This window comes from Homo sapiens, chromosome 3 (assembly GCF_000001405.40).
Source record: "Homo sapiens chromosome 3, GRCh38.p14 Primary Assembly".
Taxonomy (NCBI): domain Eukaryota; kingdom Metazoa; phylum Chordata; class Mammalia; order Primates; family Hominidae; genus Homo; species Homo sapiens.
This window is the reverse complement of record NC_000003.12, coordinates 180,775,314-180,796,181: the sequence shown is the minus strand read 5'-3', so window position 1 is coordinate 180,796,181 and position 20,868 is coordinate 180,775,314. Positions and strand designations below refer to the sequence as shown.

The window sequence follows — 20,868 nt, the reverse complement described above, 5'->3', positions numbered from 1 at the left end:
GTGGCTTGGGAGGCCTCACAATCATTGGCAGAAGGTAAAAGGTACATCTCATATGGTGGCAGACAAGAGAGCTTGTGCAGGGAAACTCCCGTTTTTCAAAACCATCAGATCTCATGAGGCTTATTCACTCTCACAGGAACAGCACAGGAAATACCCACCACCATAATTCAATTACCTCCCACCAGGTTCCTCCCATGACACTGGGAATTGTGGATGTTACAATTCAAGATGATATTGGGTGGGGAAGCCAAACCAAATCAATTATGAACAACAATACACAAAAAATTGGAAAATCTAGAAGAAATGAATAACTCTTTGGACACATACAAACTATCACCATTGAACCATAAATAAATAGAAAACCTCAACAAACCAATAATGAATAATGAGATTGAAACTGTAACAAAAAGTCATCCACTAGTGAAAAGCCCATGATCTGATGGCTACACTGCTGAGTTTTATCAAACATTTAAAGAACTAATAACAATCCTTCTCAAAATCTTCCAAAAAATTGAAAAGAACACTTCCAAACTCATTCTATGAGGCCAGCATTATTCAGATTTCAAAACCCAGCACACAACAAAAGAAAACTATAGGACAGGACAACATCACTGATGCACACAGATGAAAAAATAATCAGCAAAACACTAACAAAGTGAATTCAACAATACATTAAAAAGATCATTCACCATGATAAAGTGGGATTCATCCCAGGGATGTGAGGATGCTTTAAAACATATGCAAATCAATAAGTGTGATACATCACATTAACAGAAACAAGAATAAAAAACCATATGATTATTTCAATAGATGACAGAAAAGCATTTAATAAAATTCAACATCCTGGTATGATACAAACCCTCAACAAACCGTGTATAGAAGGAACATACCTCAAAATAAGAAAGACCATATTTGATAAACTCATAGCTAACATCATACTAAATAGGGAAAAATTGAAGGCCTTTCCTTTAAGATCTGGAACAAGACAAGGATGCCTACTTTCATCACTTTTATTTGGCACAATACTGGAAGCCTTGCCTAGAGTAATTAAGGATGAGAAAGAAAAAAAAATGACATTCCAATTGAAAAGGTAGAGTCAAATTAGCCTTGTTCACAGATAACATGATCTTATACTTAGAAAAACCTAAAGACTCCACCAAAAAAATGGTTAAAATTTATAAATGAATTCAGTAAAGTTGTAGGATACAAAATCAACATAGAAAAATCAGTAGCATTTCTATATGCCAACAGCAAACAGTCTGAAAGAGAAAGCAATCTCATTTACAATATCTACAAAGAATATTAAAAAACTAGGATTCCATTTAACCAAAATGAAAGATCTATACAGGGAAAACTGTATTAGTCCATTCTCACATTACTATAATGAACTACCTAGACTGGGCACAGTGGCTTATGCCTGTAATCTCAGCACTTTGGGAGGCTGAGGCGGGCGGATGACGAGGTCAGGTGTTTGAGACCAGCCTGGTCAGTATGGTGAAACCCTGTCTCTACTAAAAATACAAAAAAAAATTAGCCAAGCATGGTGGTGCACGCCTGTAATACCAGCTACTTGGGAGGCTGAGGCAGGAGAATTGCTTAAACCTGGGAGGCAGCGGTTTCAGTGAGCCGAGATCGTGCCACTGCTCTCCAGGCTGGGTGACAGAGCAAGATTCCATCTCAAAACAAACAAACAAACAAACTACCCGAGACTGTGTAATTTATAAAGAAAAGAGGTTTAATTGACTCACAGTTCCACAGGCTGTACAGGAAGCGTGGCTAGAGAGGCTTCAGGAAATTTACAATCATGGTGGAAGGTGAAGAGGAAGGAGTCATGTCCTACATGGCTGGAGAAGGAGGAAGAGAGAATGGAAGGGAAAATGCTAAACACTCTTAAACAACCAGATCTCATGAGAACTCACTATCACAAGAACAGCAAAGGGGAAGTCCACCCCTATGATTAAATCACCTCCCACCAGGCCTCTCCTCCAACACTAGGAATAACAATTTGATGAGATTTAGGTGGGGCTACAGAGCCAAACCATATCAAAAACTATAAAACAATGATGGAAGAAATTGAAGAGGACATAAAAAATAGATATTCCATGCTCATGGATTGGAAGAATTAATATTGTTAAAATGACACTACTCAAATCAATTTATAGATTCAATGCAATCTCTATCAAACTACCAATGAAATTCTTCAAAGAAATAGAAAATAAATTCCAAAATTTATATGAAACTACAAGAGACCCTGGATTGCCAAAGCAATCCTGAGCAAAAAGAGCAAAGCTGGAGGCATTACACTACCTGACTTTAAAACCTACTACTATAGTAACCAAATCAGCATGGTACTGGCATTAAAACAGACATGTAGACTAGTGGACCAGATATAAATCCATGTATTTACAGCCAATTCATCTTTGACAGAGGTGCCAAAAACATACAATGGGAAAAGGACAGTGTCTCCAATAAACAGTATTTTATAATTTTCTTTCTTTTTTTTTATTTTTTTATTTTTATTTTTTTGAGACGGAGTCTCGCTCCGTCGCCCAGCCTGGAGTGCAGTGGCGCGATTTCGGCTCTCTGCAAGCTCCACCTCCCGGGTTCACGCCATTCTCCTGCCTCAGCCTCCCAAGTAGCTGGGACAACAGGCACCAGCCACCACGCCTGGCTAATTCTTTTGTATTTTTAGTAGAGACGGGGTTTCACTGTATCAGCCAGGATAGTCTCGGTCTCCTGACCTCGTGATCCGCCCGCTTGGCCTCCCAAAGTGCTGGGATTACAGGTGTGAGCCACTGCGCCCGGCCCCGGATTTTATAATTTTCAAATAGGCTATATATGTACACATATATAAATTTAGTCTGTATGCTGTCTGTCTGCTTTTCAAATGTTTTGAGATTTTCTAACTGGCCTATATGTGATCACGTATTTTCATTTTTGGCAGTGAAAAGTTTTATATGAAATTATTAGTGCAAACCACTAGTGATATAACCCAAATTTTTTAATATCTTTATTTTCCATCAACTTGATCTGTAGACGTCAAGAGAATCATATTTAATGCCTCCTTGCATCTCCTTTCTGTTTTTATTACTGAATCTTTCAAATATACACAATAGCACAGAGAAAAATATAACGGATACCTGAGTACCCATCATCCTTCCTTTTCATATCTTAACATTTGTCACACATACTCCTGAAAGTATTGTTTTAATTTTAGCTGTTTATTATGAGTTACACTTACCAAGAGAGTAGGGAGTATGAATGTACAGTTTAAATAGTATTAGCTATTAAATACATATGTAACTACCACTTTGTTGGAGAAATAGAAAATTACCAACATCTATGAAGCCTTTTGGGTATCCCTCCTCAACTGTGCCCTCTCTTTTTTCCCTGAGGTACAACTACCCTGGGTTTTGTCTTCATCGTTACCTAACTGTTTTTGAAGGTTTATTGCACATGTATGAATAATAAACATTATATTGTTAAGTTTTGCCTGTTTTTGCACTTTAAATAAATGGAGGGTACTTTTTGCACTCTTCTGACTTGGTTTTTTTTTTTTTTTTTTTTTTTTGAGACAGAGTCTCGCTCTGTCACCCAGGCTGGAATGCAGTGGTGCAATCTCGGCTCACTGCATTCTGGGTTCAAGCGATTCTCCTGCCTTTGCCTCCCGAGTAGCTGGGATTAAAGGTGTGTATCACCACACCCAGCTAATTTTTGTATTTTTAGTAGAGACAGGGTTTCACCATGTTGGCCAGGCTGGTATTGAACTCCTGACCTCAAGTGATCCACATGCCTCGGCTTCCCAAAGTGCTGGGATTACAGGCTTGAGCCACTGCACCTGGCCCTGACTTGCATTTTTCCTCATATGTTTCTGAGATTCTTCCACATCAATGTGTGTAGCTGTAATTAATTCATCTTCATTGCTGTAAAATGTTACAAATATTAACTTACCATGATTTATTTTCCACATAATTGTTGATAAACATTGGAGTTGTTTTCTGATTTTCTTCTTTCAATTGGAGAATTTAGTTCTTTTAGATTTATTGGAATTATCGATATATTTGATTTTTTTTAATGGACCAAAGCATGAGTTGGTAAGTACTGGCAGTTTGCACTCCAGAATTTCTCTGCCAATATACTTTCACCATCAGTGCATGCGAATCGTCATTTTCCCACATCTTTAACAACATTTGATCTTACCTGAATTTCTAATATTTGCCATTATTTTGGGTATAAAGTCATATGTTGTTTTAATTTGCATTTCTAAGATAACTGGGAAGGTTGAACACCAATATTGTACTTACTTTAAGAAATACAGCTGATGTTGTGTGGATGTGTATATGTAATTATTTTCTGAACTACTTGAGAGTAGGCGGCATATATCATACCTCTTTACCATCTTAAACTGTCTGTGTATTTACTGTGAATGACAATATCTATATGACAGCAGTATAGCTATCAAATTATGGGAATTTAACATTGACATAATACTTTAATCTACTGTCTATATTACAGTTTTGTCAATTGTCTCAATGTTGTCTTTGATAACTTTTTTTTCCAGGAAAGCATTCAGTCCGGGATTACATATTGCATTTGGTTGTCACATCTCCTTGAATCTGCAATAGTTCACCAGCCTTTCTTTGTCTTTGTTGACATTAATATTTTTGAAGAATATGGGCTATTTATAATAGAATGCCTCAATTTGAATTTGTGTGAGCCATCCCTTTTTAACTGAGTTTCCTCAGGAGAACTAAGCCCTGAAGCATACATTGTGTAGAATGAATTAACCTCTCTCCTACGCATCTAGGATGGAAAATTGAGAAAATAGTCACTCAAGTCATTTTCTGTAAGGCTTACATTTTTCATGAAACACTAGGTGAGAAAGTTTCATTGTTTCTTCATGATTTAGTTCAGATTATACATCACAGATCAGACTACTAAATAAGTGGCATTACATCCTTCTCAAAATATCACATCTGGGCCAGGCATGGTGGCTCATGCTTGTAATCCCAGCACTTTGGGAGGCTGAGGCAGGAGAATCGCTTGAGCCCAAGAGTTCGAGACAAGCCTGGGCAAGTGAGACCTCATCTCTATGAAAAAGTTAAAAAATAAAGTGGGACGATGATTGCTTGAGCCTGGGAGGTCAAGGCTGCAATGAGCTGTGGTTACTCCACTGCATTTCTGCCTGGGGGATGGGAGTGAGACCCTGTCTCAAAAAAATCACATCTGGTGGCACATAACGTCATTTATTCCTCATTGATGTTAATTTTGATCATGCAATCTAGATGTTTTCTAGTTTCGCCACAATATAGTTACTGCTTTCCCCTTTGCGACTAATACATAGCCTTGAGAGAAACTTTTTGAGATCATGCAATTAGCCAGTTTCCCCTCAAACTCTCCTCTTTTCTAGGTATTCATGAAGGATCCACATTCATTGATGATAATTGCCCAAACCAGTGATTACCGTGATGGTTGCAAAATGGCAAAATATGAAGAAATTACATGGAATACAGCACAGAAAGACAATGATGTAGAAAATAGAAAATATCTGGAAGGTAGCATGTGATCGATCATGTATCCAGTCAGAATTCCTGAAGGAGAGAATAGGGAGGAGGAAGGAAAAGTAATATTAGGAGAGATAATGGTTAAGAATATTTCTAAATGCATGAAAGACACTTGTCTCAGATATTGGAAGTCTAAGAATATCAAGCAAGACAAAGAGATATCCACACCGAGACAAATCATAGTTAAATTACAAACTTCAAACAAAAAGAGAGCATCTTAACAATAACCAGATAGGAAAGATATGTATCAGCACCAATTCCTGGCCTCTGGAGGCTCTAGAGGTAAACGCTATTCTGCTTTTTGAGATATTAAATTTTTTGCTTTAAAAAATTTATTTATAATTTTTTTACGTGCATTAGTTTCCCAGGAGTGCTTTAACAAATATCAGAAACAAAATAATTTTATTTTCTCATAGTTTTGGGTCTGAAATTTAGGTGTTGGCAGAACCATGCTGTATCTAAAGCATCTATGGAAGGACCCTTCTTTGCCTTTTCCACCTTCTGGTAGCCCCAGGCATTTCTTGACTTGTGGCAGCATAACTCCAATCCCTGCTTTCATCATAACCTGGTCGTCTTATGTGTTTTTCTTTCCTTTTCTAATAAAGACATCAGTCGTATTGGATTACAGTCCACCCTAATGATCTCATCTTAGCTTGATTACATCTGCAAATGCCCCATTTCCAAATAAGGTTGCATTCACAGATGCTGGGAGTGAGGACTTCAACAGATATGTTAGGGGAGCAAAATTCAACTCATAACATCATCCTAAGCACTATAGTCTGGTTTTGCCTATTTTTGAACTTTTGATTTCACATAAATAGAATCATATTTTGGACTTGTTTTATGTCAATATTAGGTTTTGTGATCTATTCACATGGTAGTGTGGGGTTTCAGTTATATTCATTTTCATTGTGTTGTAGTATTCAGTTGTAGCACTGTGCCACAAACTTATTTATTCATCAATATTTTATAAGATTTGGGTTGTTTTACAGTTTTTTACTCTTACAAACAATGTTGCTAAGAATATTCTGTACCACTATGTTGGTGCACGTATATAAGAATTTCTTTAAAAGATGTATGTAGAAGAAAAACTGCTAGGGCATAGAGTTTGCATATCTTTGACTTTACTAAAATGCTAAATTAATTTTCAAACTTTAGTAGACAATTCACAGACCATCAACGATGTATAGAATTTCCTTTGTTTCACATCCTTGCCAACGTTTGATATTGTCAGAAGTTTTATTTTTGTCAATTTGATGGGTACCCAAAGCTACTTCATACTGGTTTTAATTTGCATTTCCTTGATTACTGCTGACAGTTAATATTTTGTCATATGTTTATTGATAATTTGAAGTTTCCATTTTGTGAAGTTCTAGACTTTTTCCCATTTTAAAAATTTGTATTTCAGTTTTTTCTTACTAATTTTTAGGAGTTCCTTGTGTTTTCTGAATAGAAGTACTTTTTAGTTATATGTGTTGCAAATATCTTATCCTACTCTGCAGCTTGTATTTTCACTCTTTTATAGTGGCATATGATGAACTGAAGTTTTTAATTTTAATGTGGTCTCACTTCTTAATACTCAAAAAATACTTAGTTCTCTTTGTGTCTTGGTTATGAAACTTTTCCCCATTCCAAAATCATGAAGGCATTCTCCTCACTTCTTAGAGCTTCTTAGTTTGTCATTTATGATTGAGTCTTTATTACTCTTGCAGTTGGTGTTTGTGTTTGGTGCGAGATAGAGATACAATTTTACTTTTTTCCATGTGGCTACTCAGTGGGCTCACCACCAAATATCTGTAGTGTATCTTCAAATATCTGTAGAGTGTGTTTGGGCTCTATTCTGTTCATCAATCTACTTATCCGTTCCTACACCAATACTTAACGTAGCTTTAACTACAGTCATTTTGTAATAAATAAGTCCTGCTATTGGGTAAAGCAAATCTTTCCTCTTCTTTTATAAAGTGTTTGGCTATTCTTGATCCTATATATTTTTTCATTAATTTTAGAATTAGCTTGTCAAGATTCACAAAAAGTAAGTTGAGATCATATATATGTGTGTGTGTATATATATATACTTTTTTTTTTTTTGAGACAGAGTCTTACTCCGTTGCCCAGGCTGGAGTGCAGTGGCGTGATCTCGGCTCACTGCAACTCTGCCTCCCAGGTTCAAGCAATTCTCCTGCCTCAGCCTCCCGAGTAGCTGGGATTACAGGCATGTGCCACCATGCCTGGCTAATTTTTGTATTTTTAGTAGAGATGGGGTCTTGCCATGTTGGCCAGGCTGGTCTCGAACTCCTGACCTCAGGTGATCTGCCCACCTTGGCCTCCCAAAGTGCTGGGATTACAGGTGTGAGCCACTACGCCCAGCAGAGATCCTAAATATTTTTACATTAATCTTAAAATTAACTTGTCAAGATTCACAAAAACAAGTTGAGATTATTGGCTTTTAATTGAATCTAAATTAAATTAATTGGAGAACATTTACATATTTAAATATTGAGTGTTCTGCTTAATGAGATGATATATCTTTTCATTTATTTAGGACTTATAACCATTAGTAAAATAAATTATTTATAATAAATTATTATATCCATTAATAAAATTGTATAGTTTTCTCCATCAATGTCTCCAAAATTCTTCATAAGATTTGTTTTTAGGTATTCTGTGTGCTTAATGCTATTAAAAATAACTATTTGTTAAAGGCATATAGAAATATAGCAATTTATTTCTGTAAACTGATTTTATTTCCAGCAATTCTACTAAACTCTCCTACTTATTTTAAAATTATCTGTAGATAGTTTTAGAATTTTTACATCACACTTATTTCATGTGTAAGTATCAAGTTTAGTTTCTTCCTTCCAGAACATTAACACTTTTTTGTGCTTTATTATGCTAGCTAAAATCCTCATACAATGTGGAATTGTAGTGGTGACAGTAGGTATCTTAGTCCATTTGTGTTGCTATACAGGAATATCTGAAGCTGGATAATTTATAAATAAAAGAGGTTAATTTGGCTTATGGTTTTTCAGACTGTACAAGAAGCATGGTGTCAGCATTTGTTTCTGGTGAGGGTCTCAGGAAGCTTCCACTCGTGGAAGGCAAAGGGGAGTGGGGATCTCATGGTAAGAGAGGAATAAACAGAGAGGGAAGGGCGATGCTTGGCTCTTTTTAACAATCAGTTATGGTGGTAATGAATAGTGAGAACTTACCACTTCGAGAAGGACACCAAGCCATTAATAAGGAATCTGCTCCCAGAATCCAAATACCCCCCACCAGGCCTCACCTCTAACATTGGAGGTCAAATTTCAACATGAGATCTGATAAGATGTCAAACATCCAAACTACATTACTAGTCATATTTGTTTTGTTCTTGATTTCAAAGAGAAAGCTTTCAAGAGTTTTATAATGCATAATTTTACAGCAGCTTTTTGTTTATTTATTTGTAAACATCCATTACTACGTGTATTAGTCAGGGTTCTCTAGAGGGACAGGACTAAGAGGATAAGTTCATATATGAAAGGGAGTTTAGCCGGGCGCAGTGGCTCACGCCTGTAATCCCAGCACTTTGGGAGGCCGAGGCGGGTGGATCACGAGGTCAGAAGATTGAGACAATCCTGGCTAACACAGTGAAACCCCTTCTCTAACTAAAAATACAAAAAAATTAGCTGGACTTGGTGGCAGGCACCTGTAGTCCCAGTTACTCAGGAGGCTGAGGCAGGAGAATGGCGTGAACCCGGGAGGCAGAGCTTACAGTGAGCCGAGATCACGCCACTGCACTGCAGCCTGGGCGACAGAGCGAGACTCCGTCTCAAAAAAAAAAAAAAGAAAAAGAAAAAGAAAAAGAGAAAGAAAAGGAGTTTATTAAGGAGTATTGACTCACATGATCACAAGGTGAAGTACCACAATAGGCTCTCTGCAAGCTGAGGAGCAGTCTTGAGTCCAAAAAACTCAAAAGTAGGGAAGCTGACAGTGCAGCCTTCAGTCTGTGACCAAAGGCCTGAGGGCTCCTGGCAAATGACTGGTGTAGGTTCAAGAGTCCAAAAGCTGAAGAACTTGGAGTCCGATGTTTGAGGGCAGAAAGCATCCAGCATGGGAGAAAGACGGAGGCCAGAAGACTTAGCCAGTCTAATCCTTCCACTTCCTCTGCCTGCTTTTAGCCTAGCCTGCTGGCAACTGATTAAATCACGCCCACCCAGATTGAGGGTGGGTCTCCCTCTCCCAGTCCACTGATTCAAATGTTAATCTCCTTTGGCAACACCCTCACAGACACTCCCAGCAACCATACTTTGCATCCTTCAATCCAATCAAGTTGACACTCAGTATTAACCATCACACTAGCTTAAAGAGATTCTCTTCTATTCTTAGCCATGAATATTATCATGCCTGAATGTTAGATTTTCTGAAGAGCCTTTTTTCTTCACTTAGGTAGAAGATCAAATGCTATTTCTTTTTTAATCTGCTAATATGGTGAATTACATTAATTGATTTCTTAAGTTAAAACAACCTTGCATTTTTGGAATTAAACCCAACTTAGATATAATATATTTTTCATATATTAATGGATCTAGTTTGCTAATATTTAATTTATGGCTTTTATATCTATTTTGTGTTATATAAGATGCCATTATTTCATATGTCACTATGAAAGAACAAAAATACTATCAATGAAACGATGACACAATACTTTTTCACCTTGATTTTTAATTTTATGGAAATAATTTTTGGCTTATTTCAACATAGGTTTTATTATATATCACTCTTATACACAGAAAAATATGTAAGTAAGGAAAATTGGTTGAGATATTCCTAAAACATATTCACAGCACCCATCATAACTATATTACATTAAATTTAAAATTACACCTTAGTCAATGTCAACTACTGTATTTCAACAAATTGAAGCCTCCACCAATTGCCTTAGGTGAAGACATACTCCTCTAATGTGAATTTGCTGTAGCATCTGTCATTGTGAAGACTAGAACTGTTTTCTCAAATTCTTATTTTATTTTATTTTTTTGAGACAGAGCCTCGCCCTGTCTCCCAGGCTGGAGTGCAATGGCGCAATCTCGGCTCACTGCAACCTCCACCTCCCGAGTTCAAGCGATTCTCCTGCCTCAGCCTTCCGAGTAGCTGGGATTACAGGTGCGCACCACCATGCCCGGCTCATTTTTTGTATTTTTAGTAGAGAGGGGGTTTCACCATGTTGGCAAGGCTAGTCTCAAACTCCTGACCTCGTGATCTGCCTGCCTCAGGCTCCCAAAGTGCTGGGATTACAGGTGTAAGCCAATGTGCCTGGCCCTCAAATTCTTTTTTTTTTTTTTTTTTTTTTTGAGACGGAGTCTCGCTCTGTCGCCCAGGCTGGAGTGCAGTGGCGGGATCTCGGCTCACTGCAAGCTCCGCCTCCCGGGTTCACGCCATTCTCCTGCCTCAGCCTCCCAAGTAGCTGGGACTACAGGCGCCCGCCACTACGCCCGGCTAATTTTTTGTATTTTTAGTAGAGACGGGGTTTCACTGTTTTAGCCGGGATGGTCTCGATCTCCTGACCTCGTGATGCGCCCGCCTCGGCCTCCCAAAGTGCTGGGATTACAGGCGTGAGCCACCGCGCCCGGCCTCAAATTCTTAATGTACATATATTTTTAGAATCTTATTTTAGATTCTCTCTTGTTCTATGTATGAATGCTGTGTATTTCTTTTTCAAACTTTAACCTACAACTAACAATTGTTGGGGAGAGGTGGTATAGGCTGTAGAGTGAGTGAGATATTCTAGGTATGGGGTCTCTTCATACCTTCGGAGAGTTTCCATCTATTCTGGGCACTAACCTGCCTCTCAGGACTAAAGACACTCCACACTCATTGCTTTTGTTTGGGACCTGAGTCCTCTGCTGCTCAGCATTAGATAAACGGGCAGGATAGGAAAAGTGAGACCTAACTGTCTGCACTTTCCGTGGATTCCCCAAAATCACCTTGCTGTTTTCTACAGACCTCCTCCTGCTCCCCACGTATGCTACCTTTGACTTGAAGTACCTTTTAAGCTACTTCTGCACATCTATTAATTTGGAGCTCTGATTTCCTCCTTTGGTAACCTCCCTTGCCTCCTATATTTCAGAGATTTTTTTATATGCTTTTGAGACTGACACAACCATCCCCTATTGTTATTCTAGGCTGTTGTGGATTTATTAATAGTATTTTTCTATTTCTAGAAATCTGGGTGGAATATGGGGTTAGAATGTACGTTTGTATTGTAGTATTTCTAACAGCATTCAACAATGTTTATGTCAGGGTAATTTTAAATTTATCTTTGGTGTGTTTTTAAACTTTTCTATGACATATATACATTGATTAATTATATTTTTAACTATAAAAGTAAATAAAGTATTCTTGTATAAAATCAAAAGTGAACCTTTCTCTTTTCACCCCTACCTGCAATCCTACTTCTCAGAGTTAACCACTGTCTAGATGATAATTTCACAATCATGGTACTATTGACATGTAAGCCAGATGATTCTTTGTTATGGGGAACTGTCCTATCCATTGTGAGATCTTTAGCATCATTCCTGACCCCATACCAACTAGATATTATTAGCAACTGCCAAGTTGTGACAACCAAACATATCTTCAGACATCATCAAGTGTCCCTGGGGGGCAAGATGATCTGTGGTTGGAAACTACTGGTCTAGATTTATTTCCATGAATTTGTAAACAAACAAACATGTACATAGAATAACAGTTAAATGGGAAAATAACTCATACTGAAATAGTACATGATAAAACCTGCTGGCTTATGAGCCTTTAAAGTCAGCATTTCCAAAAGTATAGTCTTTGAACACTAGCTTGATGCTCAAGTGTTATATGAAAAAACAATGTGGTCAAGTAAACTTGGGTAACACCGAGTTAATAAAATTAAACTGTTTTCTTTCTTATATGACTACTCTGAAACTTTAAGTTTCTACCTTGCCTTGTGAATCTCCAGGAGGGAGGTATAGTTGTACTATTTCCCAAGTTTATATGGCTACAGAATCTTTATTTCATGGGGCATTTCATGGGACTAATGTTTGGTGGAAATCCGCTGGGAGACTTTAACACTGATCCTTTAAATGTAAGAAAGTCCATGGCAGTTTTTAATCAAATATAAAGTTGAAACAATAAACCACCACCAACAAAAACCAGAACTATGTACAGCAGGTTTTAAAACAAATATAAAGCTGAAACAATAAAAAACAACACAGAACGATTTTATGTTCCCAGTATTCTTCTATCTCCCTACTCTGTCCTAACCCATACTAAGGAAAATCAAACCATGTGGTTTAGCAAATGAATGAGACAGAAGCAAACAGACTGGCAGGCTCACTTGTCCTATAGAAGGTATATGACTCTTTCACTGGTGGGCCAGTTATTATTTAAGGAATGCTGCAGGCTGTTGCCAAAGGAATAAAGGATACTAATACCATTTTAGAAGAGGCTTATCTCAAGAGAGGCCATAGTAGTTCATATTTCCCCTTCCTCAAGATTCCAGGCCACTATCTTTTTTTCTGTCCTTCTTTGGAAGAGGTGGATAAAGTTACTATTAATATTTTCATCAAAATTATAATGGCGCAAATGGTAATTTTATAACCTTCATTGTCTTTCCAATAATTCAATGGAATTTTTTAAATATTAAAATAAGAATCTTTATTAGAGAAAGACAAATAAATAAAAATCTTTTATAATGTTTCCATCAGATTGGTAGTCACTGTTCATTTGTGGTAGCTCTGGGGCATTTGTTGTTGTTGCTAGATGAGACTCAGACTGGACTATAGGGAGTAGGGGAGAGGTGCATTGCAAATAGACGCTATGTATTCATATGAGGGTAGCCTGAGGTCAGTGGGTGTTCTGTAGTATGAAAGAAAGTAGGGATATAAATAAGCACATTTGTGTCCTCCTGTCCTTTCCTTTCCTCATGAAGGAAGTAAAAAGATGAAAATAGGCTGAAAAAAAAACACAAAAGCTGAAGATATAAGATGTACAGGGGAATATTCTTGGTATCACTGCATAATTTCCAAGCTGATTATTCAATGTTTAGAATTATGAGAAATAGAAACCAATGGAAAAGAGGAAAATATATAAATTCACATGTTTCATTCAGTGGAAAGAGGCCAGGAAGAGTGAAGTCAGTTTCATTCTTATCTAAATAATCTCAATTTCCATTTTCTAAAGAAAAGCAGCATTATGAGAAGAGGAGCCTGTGTTACACATATTTATTCTTATGTATACTGTCACCAGAGGGCACTAGTAAATGTTTATGAAAAGCTGAAACTCCAAAATTTACAGGAGATGGAGTGCAAAGCTGTAAGTGTAAATCCTAGTTGTCTATTAGTCACTCTATACTTTCTGTTTTTTATCTATAAATTGAAATATTTACAACTATCCCTAAATGGAGGTCTATAAACTGAAAATTTTGTAACTACTCTAAATGAAGGATTCCATTTTCTAATCAAAACTATGTTTTAAATTCAGAGTAATCAAAAAGAGGAGCCGACTAGACACAGCCAGGAAGAGCTTCTCCCACCGGAAGACCAGACCAGCAAGAAAGTTGGCACCCTCCAAGCAGGTTGTTGAAAGGAAGGCCTTGAATGTGGACAGAGGACGATGCAGATGGTAAGCTGAAGGGTGAAGAAGCTGGGAAACCTGCATTGGGTTACTGAGCACTAGATCTCGTTTCTGATCCCGAGTAGCTCCTGGGGAAAATGTGAGTTAAATAGGTATGGAGTGGCCCCTTCTCACCAAAGACCTCTAGAATCCTAGCTGCAGGAGACTTTATAGCCCCATGAACATTTGAGCTGGAAGGGAGAGCTGCTTGGAGAGTTGGCGGGAACAGGAATCCAGCCTGCATGGAGCTCATAGTTTGGCTCAGGAATAGCTGCAGTAGAACATGGACAGGGACACCCATTCCCCAAGGCTTCCCTTGCTCCTTCAGGTAGCTTTGGCCTTTGTTGACTGTTGGACCTGGACAGAACAGGTCTATCTTGCCACATGGGACAGGGCCAGTCTGATTTGAGTGTCTCTTGTCTGCTAGCCTCTCCCAGGGTTCATGTGTGGCTGCACCCACTTGCAACACAGCCTCAGATACCTAACTGGGGTGCTTCTCAGTGGCCACCACCATAGCTCTTTTGCTGGTAGACACTGCCTAACCATCAGAGAGCTTTTGCAGATGGACTCCAGCCAGTGTGCATCTGCTTGCAGCCTTCCCCCAGCACTTTGCTGGTGTATGCACATGCGTGTGTGAACTGCACTGCTGCTGTCCTACCACTAGCGCATGCATGTGCACAGTCCACCACCCCGCTGCTGCCATGCTGTTGTCTGCATGTGCTTTGACCCTATTGCCACCCCCTCAATGAAGTGCTTTTGCAGGCATCCCCTGCATCAGAGTGGTGTTGCCAGCAGGGACATCTCAGATCCTTTAGCACAGCAGGTACTTAACCTCAAGGAGGCAGAGAACAAAGCTGTGGGCCTGGTCTCAGCCCCCAGGGTTAGAGCACACAGCCCACGAATGCTGAGAGCCTTGGCCCACTGAAATTATTAAGAAATAAAGCCAGTGAACTAAACCCAACTTATACCACAGTCAAACCCTCAAGGGCATCAAAGAATACAAAAGCAAAAAGCCCTATTGGAAGAATGGCAACTTCAAAGATTAAGGAAACATCAGCTCACACAGATGAGAAGGAACCAGCACAAGATCTCTGGCAACTCAAAAAGCCAGTGTCTTCTTACCTCCAAATGACTGCATTAGCTTCCCAGCAGTGGTTCTTAACCAGAATTAAATGGCTGAAATGACAGACATAGAATTCAAAATCTGGATGGCAATGAAGATCATCGAAATTCAGGAGAAAGTTGAAACCCAATCTAAGGAATCTAAGAAATCCAGTAAAAGGATTCAAGAGCTGAAAGACAAAATAGCCATTTTAGAAAAGAATCAAATTGATTTGATAGAGTTGAAAAACTCACTAAAGAATTTCTTAATACAATTAGAAGTATTAGTTGGTGCAAAAGTAATTGCAGTTTTTGTCATTACTTTTAAATAGCAAAAACCACAATTACTGTTGCACCAACCTAATACTAACAGCACAATAGACTAAGCTGAGGAAAGAATCTCAGAGCCTGAATACCAATTCTTTGAATCAACTCAGTCATTTCAAAACACAGAAAAAAGAATTTTAAAAAATGAACAGAATCTCTGAGAAAGATGAGATTTTGTGAAGAGACCAAACCTATGACTTATTGGCATCCCTGAAGGAGAGAGAGCAAGCAATTTGGAAAACATACTTAAGAATATTAACCATGCAAATTTCACCAACCTTGCTAGACATATTCACATTCAAATTCAGGAAATTCAGAGAACCCATCAAGATACTATCCAGGATGACTATCCCCAAGGAAATGGTCATCAGATTCTACAAGGTCAAAGTTAAAGGAAAAATATTAAAGGCAGCTAGAAAGAGGGGGCAGGTCACCTTCAAAGAGAACCCCATCAGACTAACAGCAGACTTTTAGCAGAAACTCTATAAGCCAGAAGAGATTAGGGACCTGTATTTAGCATCCTTAAAGACAATCAATTCCAACCAAGAATTTCATATCCAGCCAAACTAAGCTTCATAAGTGAAGGAGAAATAAAATCATTTTCAGACAAGCAAATGCTAAGGGAATTCATCACCACTAAACTTGCCTTATAAGAAGTTCTTAAAGGAATGCTAAACATGGAAACAAAAAGACCATTACTGGCCAGCACAAAAACACACTTAAGTAAATAGACCATTGACACTATAAAGCAACTATAATCAAGTCTACACAGAAACCAAAAGCCAATATAATAGGATCAAATCCATAACATATCAATATTAACCTTAATTGTAAACAAGATAAATGTCCCACTTAAAAGGCACAGAGTGGCAAGTTGGATGAAGAAGCAAGGACCAACTGTATGCTGTCTTCAAGAGACCCATCTCATGTGCAATGACACCCATAAGCTCAAAGTAAAGAGATGGAAAAGATCTATCAAGAAAATGAAAACAGAAAAGATCAGGAGTTGCTATTTTTATTTCAGATGAAATAGACTTTAAACCAATAATAATCAAAAAGGACAAAGAAGGGCATTGCATAATGATAAAGGGTTCAACTCAACAAGAAGACTTCACTATCTTAAGTATATATGCACCCAACACTGGAGCATCCAGATTCATAAATCAAGTTCTTAGAGACCTACAAAGAGATTTAGATAACCACTCAATGGTAGTAGGAGACTTCAACACCCCAGTGACAGTATTAGATCAGTGAGGCAGAAAATTATTAAAGATATTTAAGATCTAAAACAGATATTTGGGACCTAAACTCATCTGTTGTAAACAGGGTTAAGAGGAAAGTTTATAGCACTAATCATCCACATCAAAAAAGGAAGATCTCAAGTTAACAACCTAGCATCACCTACAGGAACTAGAAAAACAAGAGCAAACCAATCCCAAAGCTAGTAGGAGAAAAGAAATAACCAAAATCAGAGCTGAACTGAATGAAATGGAGACATAAAAATCCATACAAAAGACCAATGAAGGCAACAGTTGGTTCTTGAAAGAATAAATAATATTGATAGACTACTAGCTAGATTAATGAAAAAAAGGGAAGACCCAAACAAATGCACTCAGAAATGACAAAGGGGACATTACCACTGACCCTATAGAAGTAAAAAACCCTTGGAAACTATTAGGAACACCTCTATGCACACAAACTAGAAAACCTAGAAGAAATGAATAAATTCCTGGAAATGTACAGCCTCCTAAGATTGAACCAAGAAGAAATTGAAACCCTGAACAGATCAATAAGGAATTATGAAATTGAATCAGTAATAAAAATCCTTCCAACCAGAAAAGATCCTAGACTAGATGGATTCACAGCTGAATTCTACTAGACATAGAAAGAAGAGCTGGTACCAATCCTACTGAAACTATTCCAAATAATTGAGGAGGAGGGTCTCCTCCCTAATGCATTCTATGAGGCCAGCATCATGCTGATACCAAAGCCTGGTAGAGACATGCAAAAAAAGAAAACTTTAGGCCAATATTCCTGATAAGCTTAGATGGAAACTTTCTCAACAAAATACTAGAAAACCAAGTCCAGCAGCATGTCAAAAAACTAGTCCACCATGATCAAGCAGGCTTTATTCCTGGAATTCAAGGATGGTTTAACATACACAAATCAATAAATGTGATTAATCAGATAACCAGAACTAAAACCAAAAACCATATGATCATCTTAGTAAATGCAGAAAAGGCTTTTGATAAAATCCAACATTCTTTCATGTTAAAAATCCTCAATAAACTAGGCATACCTCAAAATGAGCCATCTATGACCAACCCACAACTGACGTCACACTGAATGGGCAAAATCTAGAAGCATTCCCCTTGAGAACTGGAACAAGACAAAGATGCCCATTTTCACTACTCCTATTCAACATAGTACCAGATTCCTAGCCAGAGCAATCAGGCAAGAGAAAGAAATAAAAGGCATCCAAACAGGAAGAGAGAAAGCCAAACTATTTTTGTTTACAGATGATATGATTCTATACCTAGAAAATACCATAGCCTTTGCCCTAAGGCTCCTAGATCTGACAAACAACTTCAGTGAAGTTTCTAGATACAAAGTCATTGTACAAAAATCTGTAGCATTTCTATACACGAATAACATCCAAGCTGAGTGCCAAGTGAAGAACACAGTCCTATTCACAATAGCCACAAAAAGAATAAAATACTTAGAAATATAGCTAGCCAGAGAAGTGAAGTATCTTACAATGAGAATTACATAACACTGCTGAAAGAAATCAGAGACAACACAAACAAATAAAAAAAATTCCATGCTCATGTACAGGAAGATTCAATATTGTTAAAATGGTTATACTGCCTAATATAGTTTGACTGTGTCCCCACCCAAATCTCATCTTGAATTGTAGCTTGCTTAATTCCCATGTGTTGTGGGAGGAACGTGGTGGGAGATAATTAAATCATGGGGGCAGTTTCTCTCAGACTGTTCTCATGGTAGTGAATAAGTCTCACAAGATCTGATGGTTTTATAAGGGATTTCCCCTTTCACATGGCTCTCATTCACTCTTGCCTGCCACCATGTAAGATGTGCCTTTTGCCTTCCACTGTGATTATAACACCTCCCCAGCCACGTGGAACTGTCAGTCCATTGAAACTCTTTTTCTTTATAAATTACCCAGTCTCAGGTATGTCTTTATCAGCAGTGTGAAAATGAACTAATACAGTAAATTGGTACCAGGAGTGGGGCACTGCTGTAAAGAAACCTGAAAATGTGAGAGCATCTTTGGAACTGGGTAACAGGCACAGGTTGGAACAGTGTGGGGGGCTCAGAAGAAGACAGGAAAATGTGGGAAAGTTTGGAACTCCCTAGAGACTTGTTGAATGGCTTTGACTGAAATGCATATAATGACATGGACAATGAAATCCAGGCTGAGGTAGTCTCAGATGGTGATGAGGAACTTGTTGGGAACTGGAGTAAAGGTGACTCTTGCTATGTTTTAGCAAAAAGACTAGTGACATTTTGCACCTGCCCTAGAGATTTGTGAAACTTTGAACTTGAGGGAGATGATTTAGGGTATCTGGTGGAAGAAATTTCTAAGCAGCATAGCATTCAAGAGGTGATTTGAGTGCTGTTAAAAGCATTCAGTTTTAAAAGGGAAACAGATCATACAAGTTTGGAAAATTTGTAGCCTGATGATGTAGAGGAAAAGAAAAACCTATTTTCTGAGAAATTCAACCAGCTATAGAAATTTGCATAAGTAATGAGGAGCCAGATGTTAATCACCAAGACAATGGGGAAAATGTCGCCAGGGCATGTCATAGGGCATTCATGGTCTACCCTATCATCACAGGCCCAGAGGCCGAGGAGGATAAAATGGTTTCCTTTGCTTAGCCCAGGGCCCCCCAGGTGTGTGCAGCCTAGGGACTTTGTGCCCTGCATCCCAGCCACTCTGGCCATGGCTAACAGGGGCCAAGGTACAGCTCGGTCTGTGGCTTCAGAGGATGCAAGCCCCAAGTCTTGGCAGCTTCCATGTGGTGTTGAGCCTGCGGGTGCACAGAGGTCAAGAATTGAGATTTGGGAACTTCTATCTAGATTTCAGAGGATGTATAGAAATGCTTGGAAGTCCAGGCAGAAGTTTGCTGAAGGGGCAGGGCCCTCATGGAGAACCTCTGCTAGGGCAATGCAGAAGGCAAATGTGAGCTTGAAGCCCCCACACAGAGTCCCCACTGGGGCACTGGCTAGCAGAGCTGTGAGAAGAGGGCCATCATCCTTCAGACCCCAGAATGGTAGATCCACTGACAGCTTGCATCATGCACCTGGAAAAGCCACTGACTCTCAACGTCAGCTCGTGAAATCAGCTGGGTGGGAGGCTATACCCTGCAAAGCCACAGGGGTGGAGCTGCCCAAGACCATGGGAACCCACCTCTTGCATCAGCATGACCCAGATGTGAGACACGGAGTCAAAGGAGATCATTTTGGACTTTAAGATTTCATTGCCCCACTGGATTTCAGACTGCATGAGTCCTTTAGCCCCTTTGTTTTGGCCAATTTCTCCCATTTGGAATGAGTGTATTTATTCAATGCCTGTACCCCCATTGTATCTAGGGAGTAACTAAACTTGCTTTTGATTTTATAGGCTCATAGGCAGAAGAGACTTGCCTTGTCTCAGATAAGACTTTGGACTGTGGACTTTTGAGTTAATGCTGAAATGAGTTAAGGCTTTGGGGGACTGTTGGGAAGGCATGATTGGCTTTGAAATGTGAGGGCATGAGATTTAGGAGGGGCCAGCAGTGGAATGAGTTGGTGTAGCTGTGTCCCCACCCAAATCTCATCTTGAATTGTAGCTCCCATAATTCCCATGTGTTGTGGGAGGGACTCAGTTGTAGATAATTGAATCACAGGGGCAGTTTTCTCCATACTGTTCTCATGGTAGTGAATAAGTCTCACAAGATCTAATAGTTTTATAACTGTTTTCCCCTTTTGCTTGGCTCTCATTTTCTCTTGCTGCTGCCATGTAAGACTTGCCTTTTGCCTTCTTCCATAATTTTGAGGCCTCTCCAGCCACATAGAACTCTGAGTCCATTAAACCTCTTTTTCTTTATAAATTATCCAGTCTCAGATATGTCTTTATCAGCAGCATGGAAATGGACTAATACACTGCCCAAAGCAATGTACAGTTCAATGCTATTCCTATTAAACTACCAATGACATTTTTTACAGAATTAGAAAAAAACTATTTCAA

The 20,868-nt window shown here is 38.6% G+C and overlaps 1 long non-coding RNA gene across 1 annotated transcript in view; it reads left to right on the top strand.

Moving 5' to 3' along the window:
• The window catches only part of LOC101928882 (uncharacterized), a 162,590-nt gene that overhangs the window by 73,997 nt on the left and 67,725 nt on the right, over nucleotides 1-20,868 (top strand). Inside the window, exon 4 of the long non-coding RNA NR_109986.1 lies at nucleotides 14,058-14,198. This is a non-coding gene — a long non-coding RNA (uncharacterized LOC101928882). The remainder of the gene's footprint in view (nucleotides 1-14,057; nucleotides 14,199-20,868) is intronic.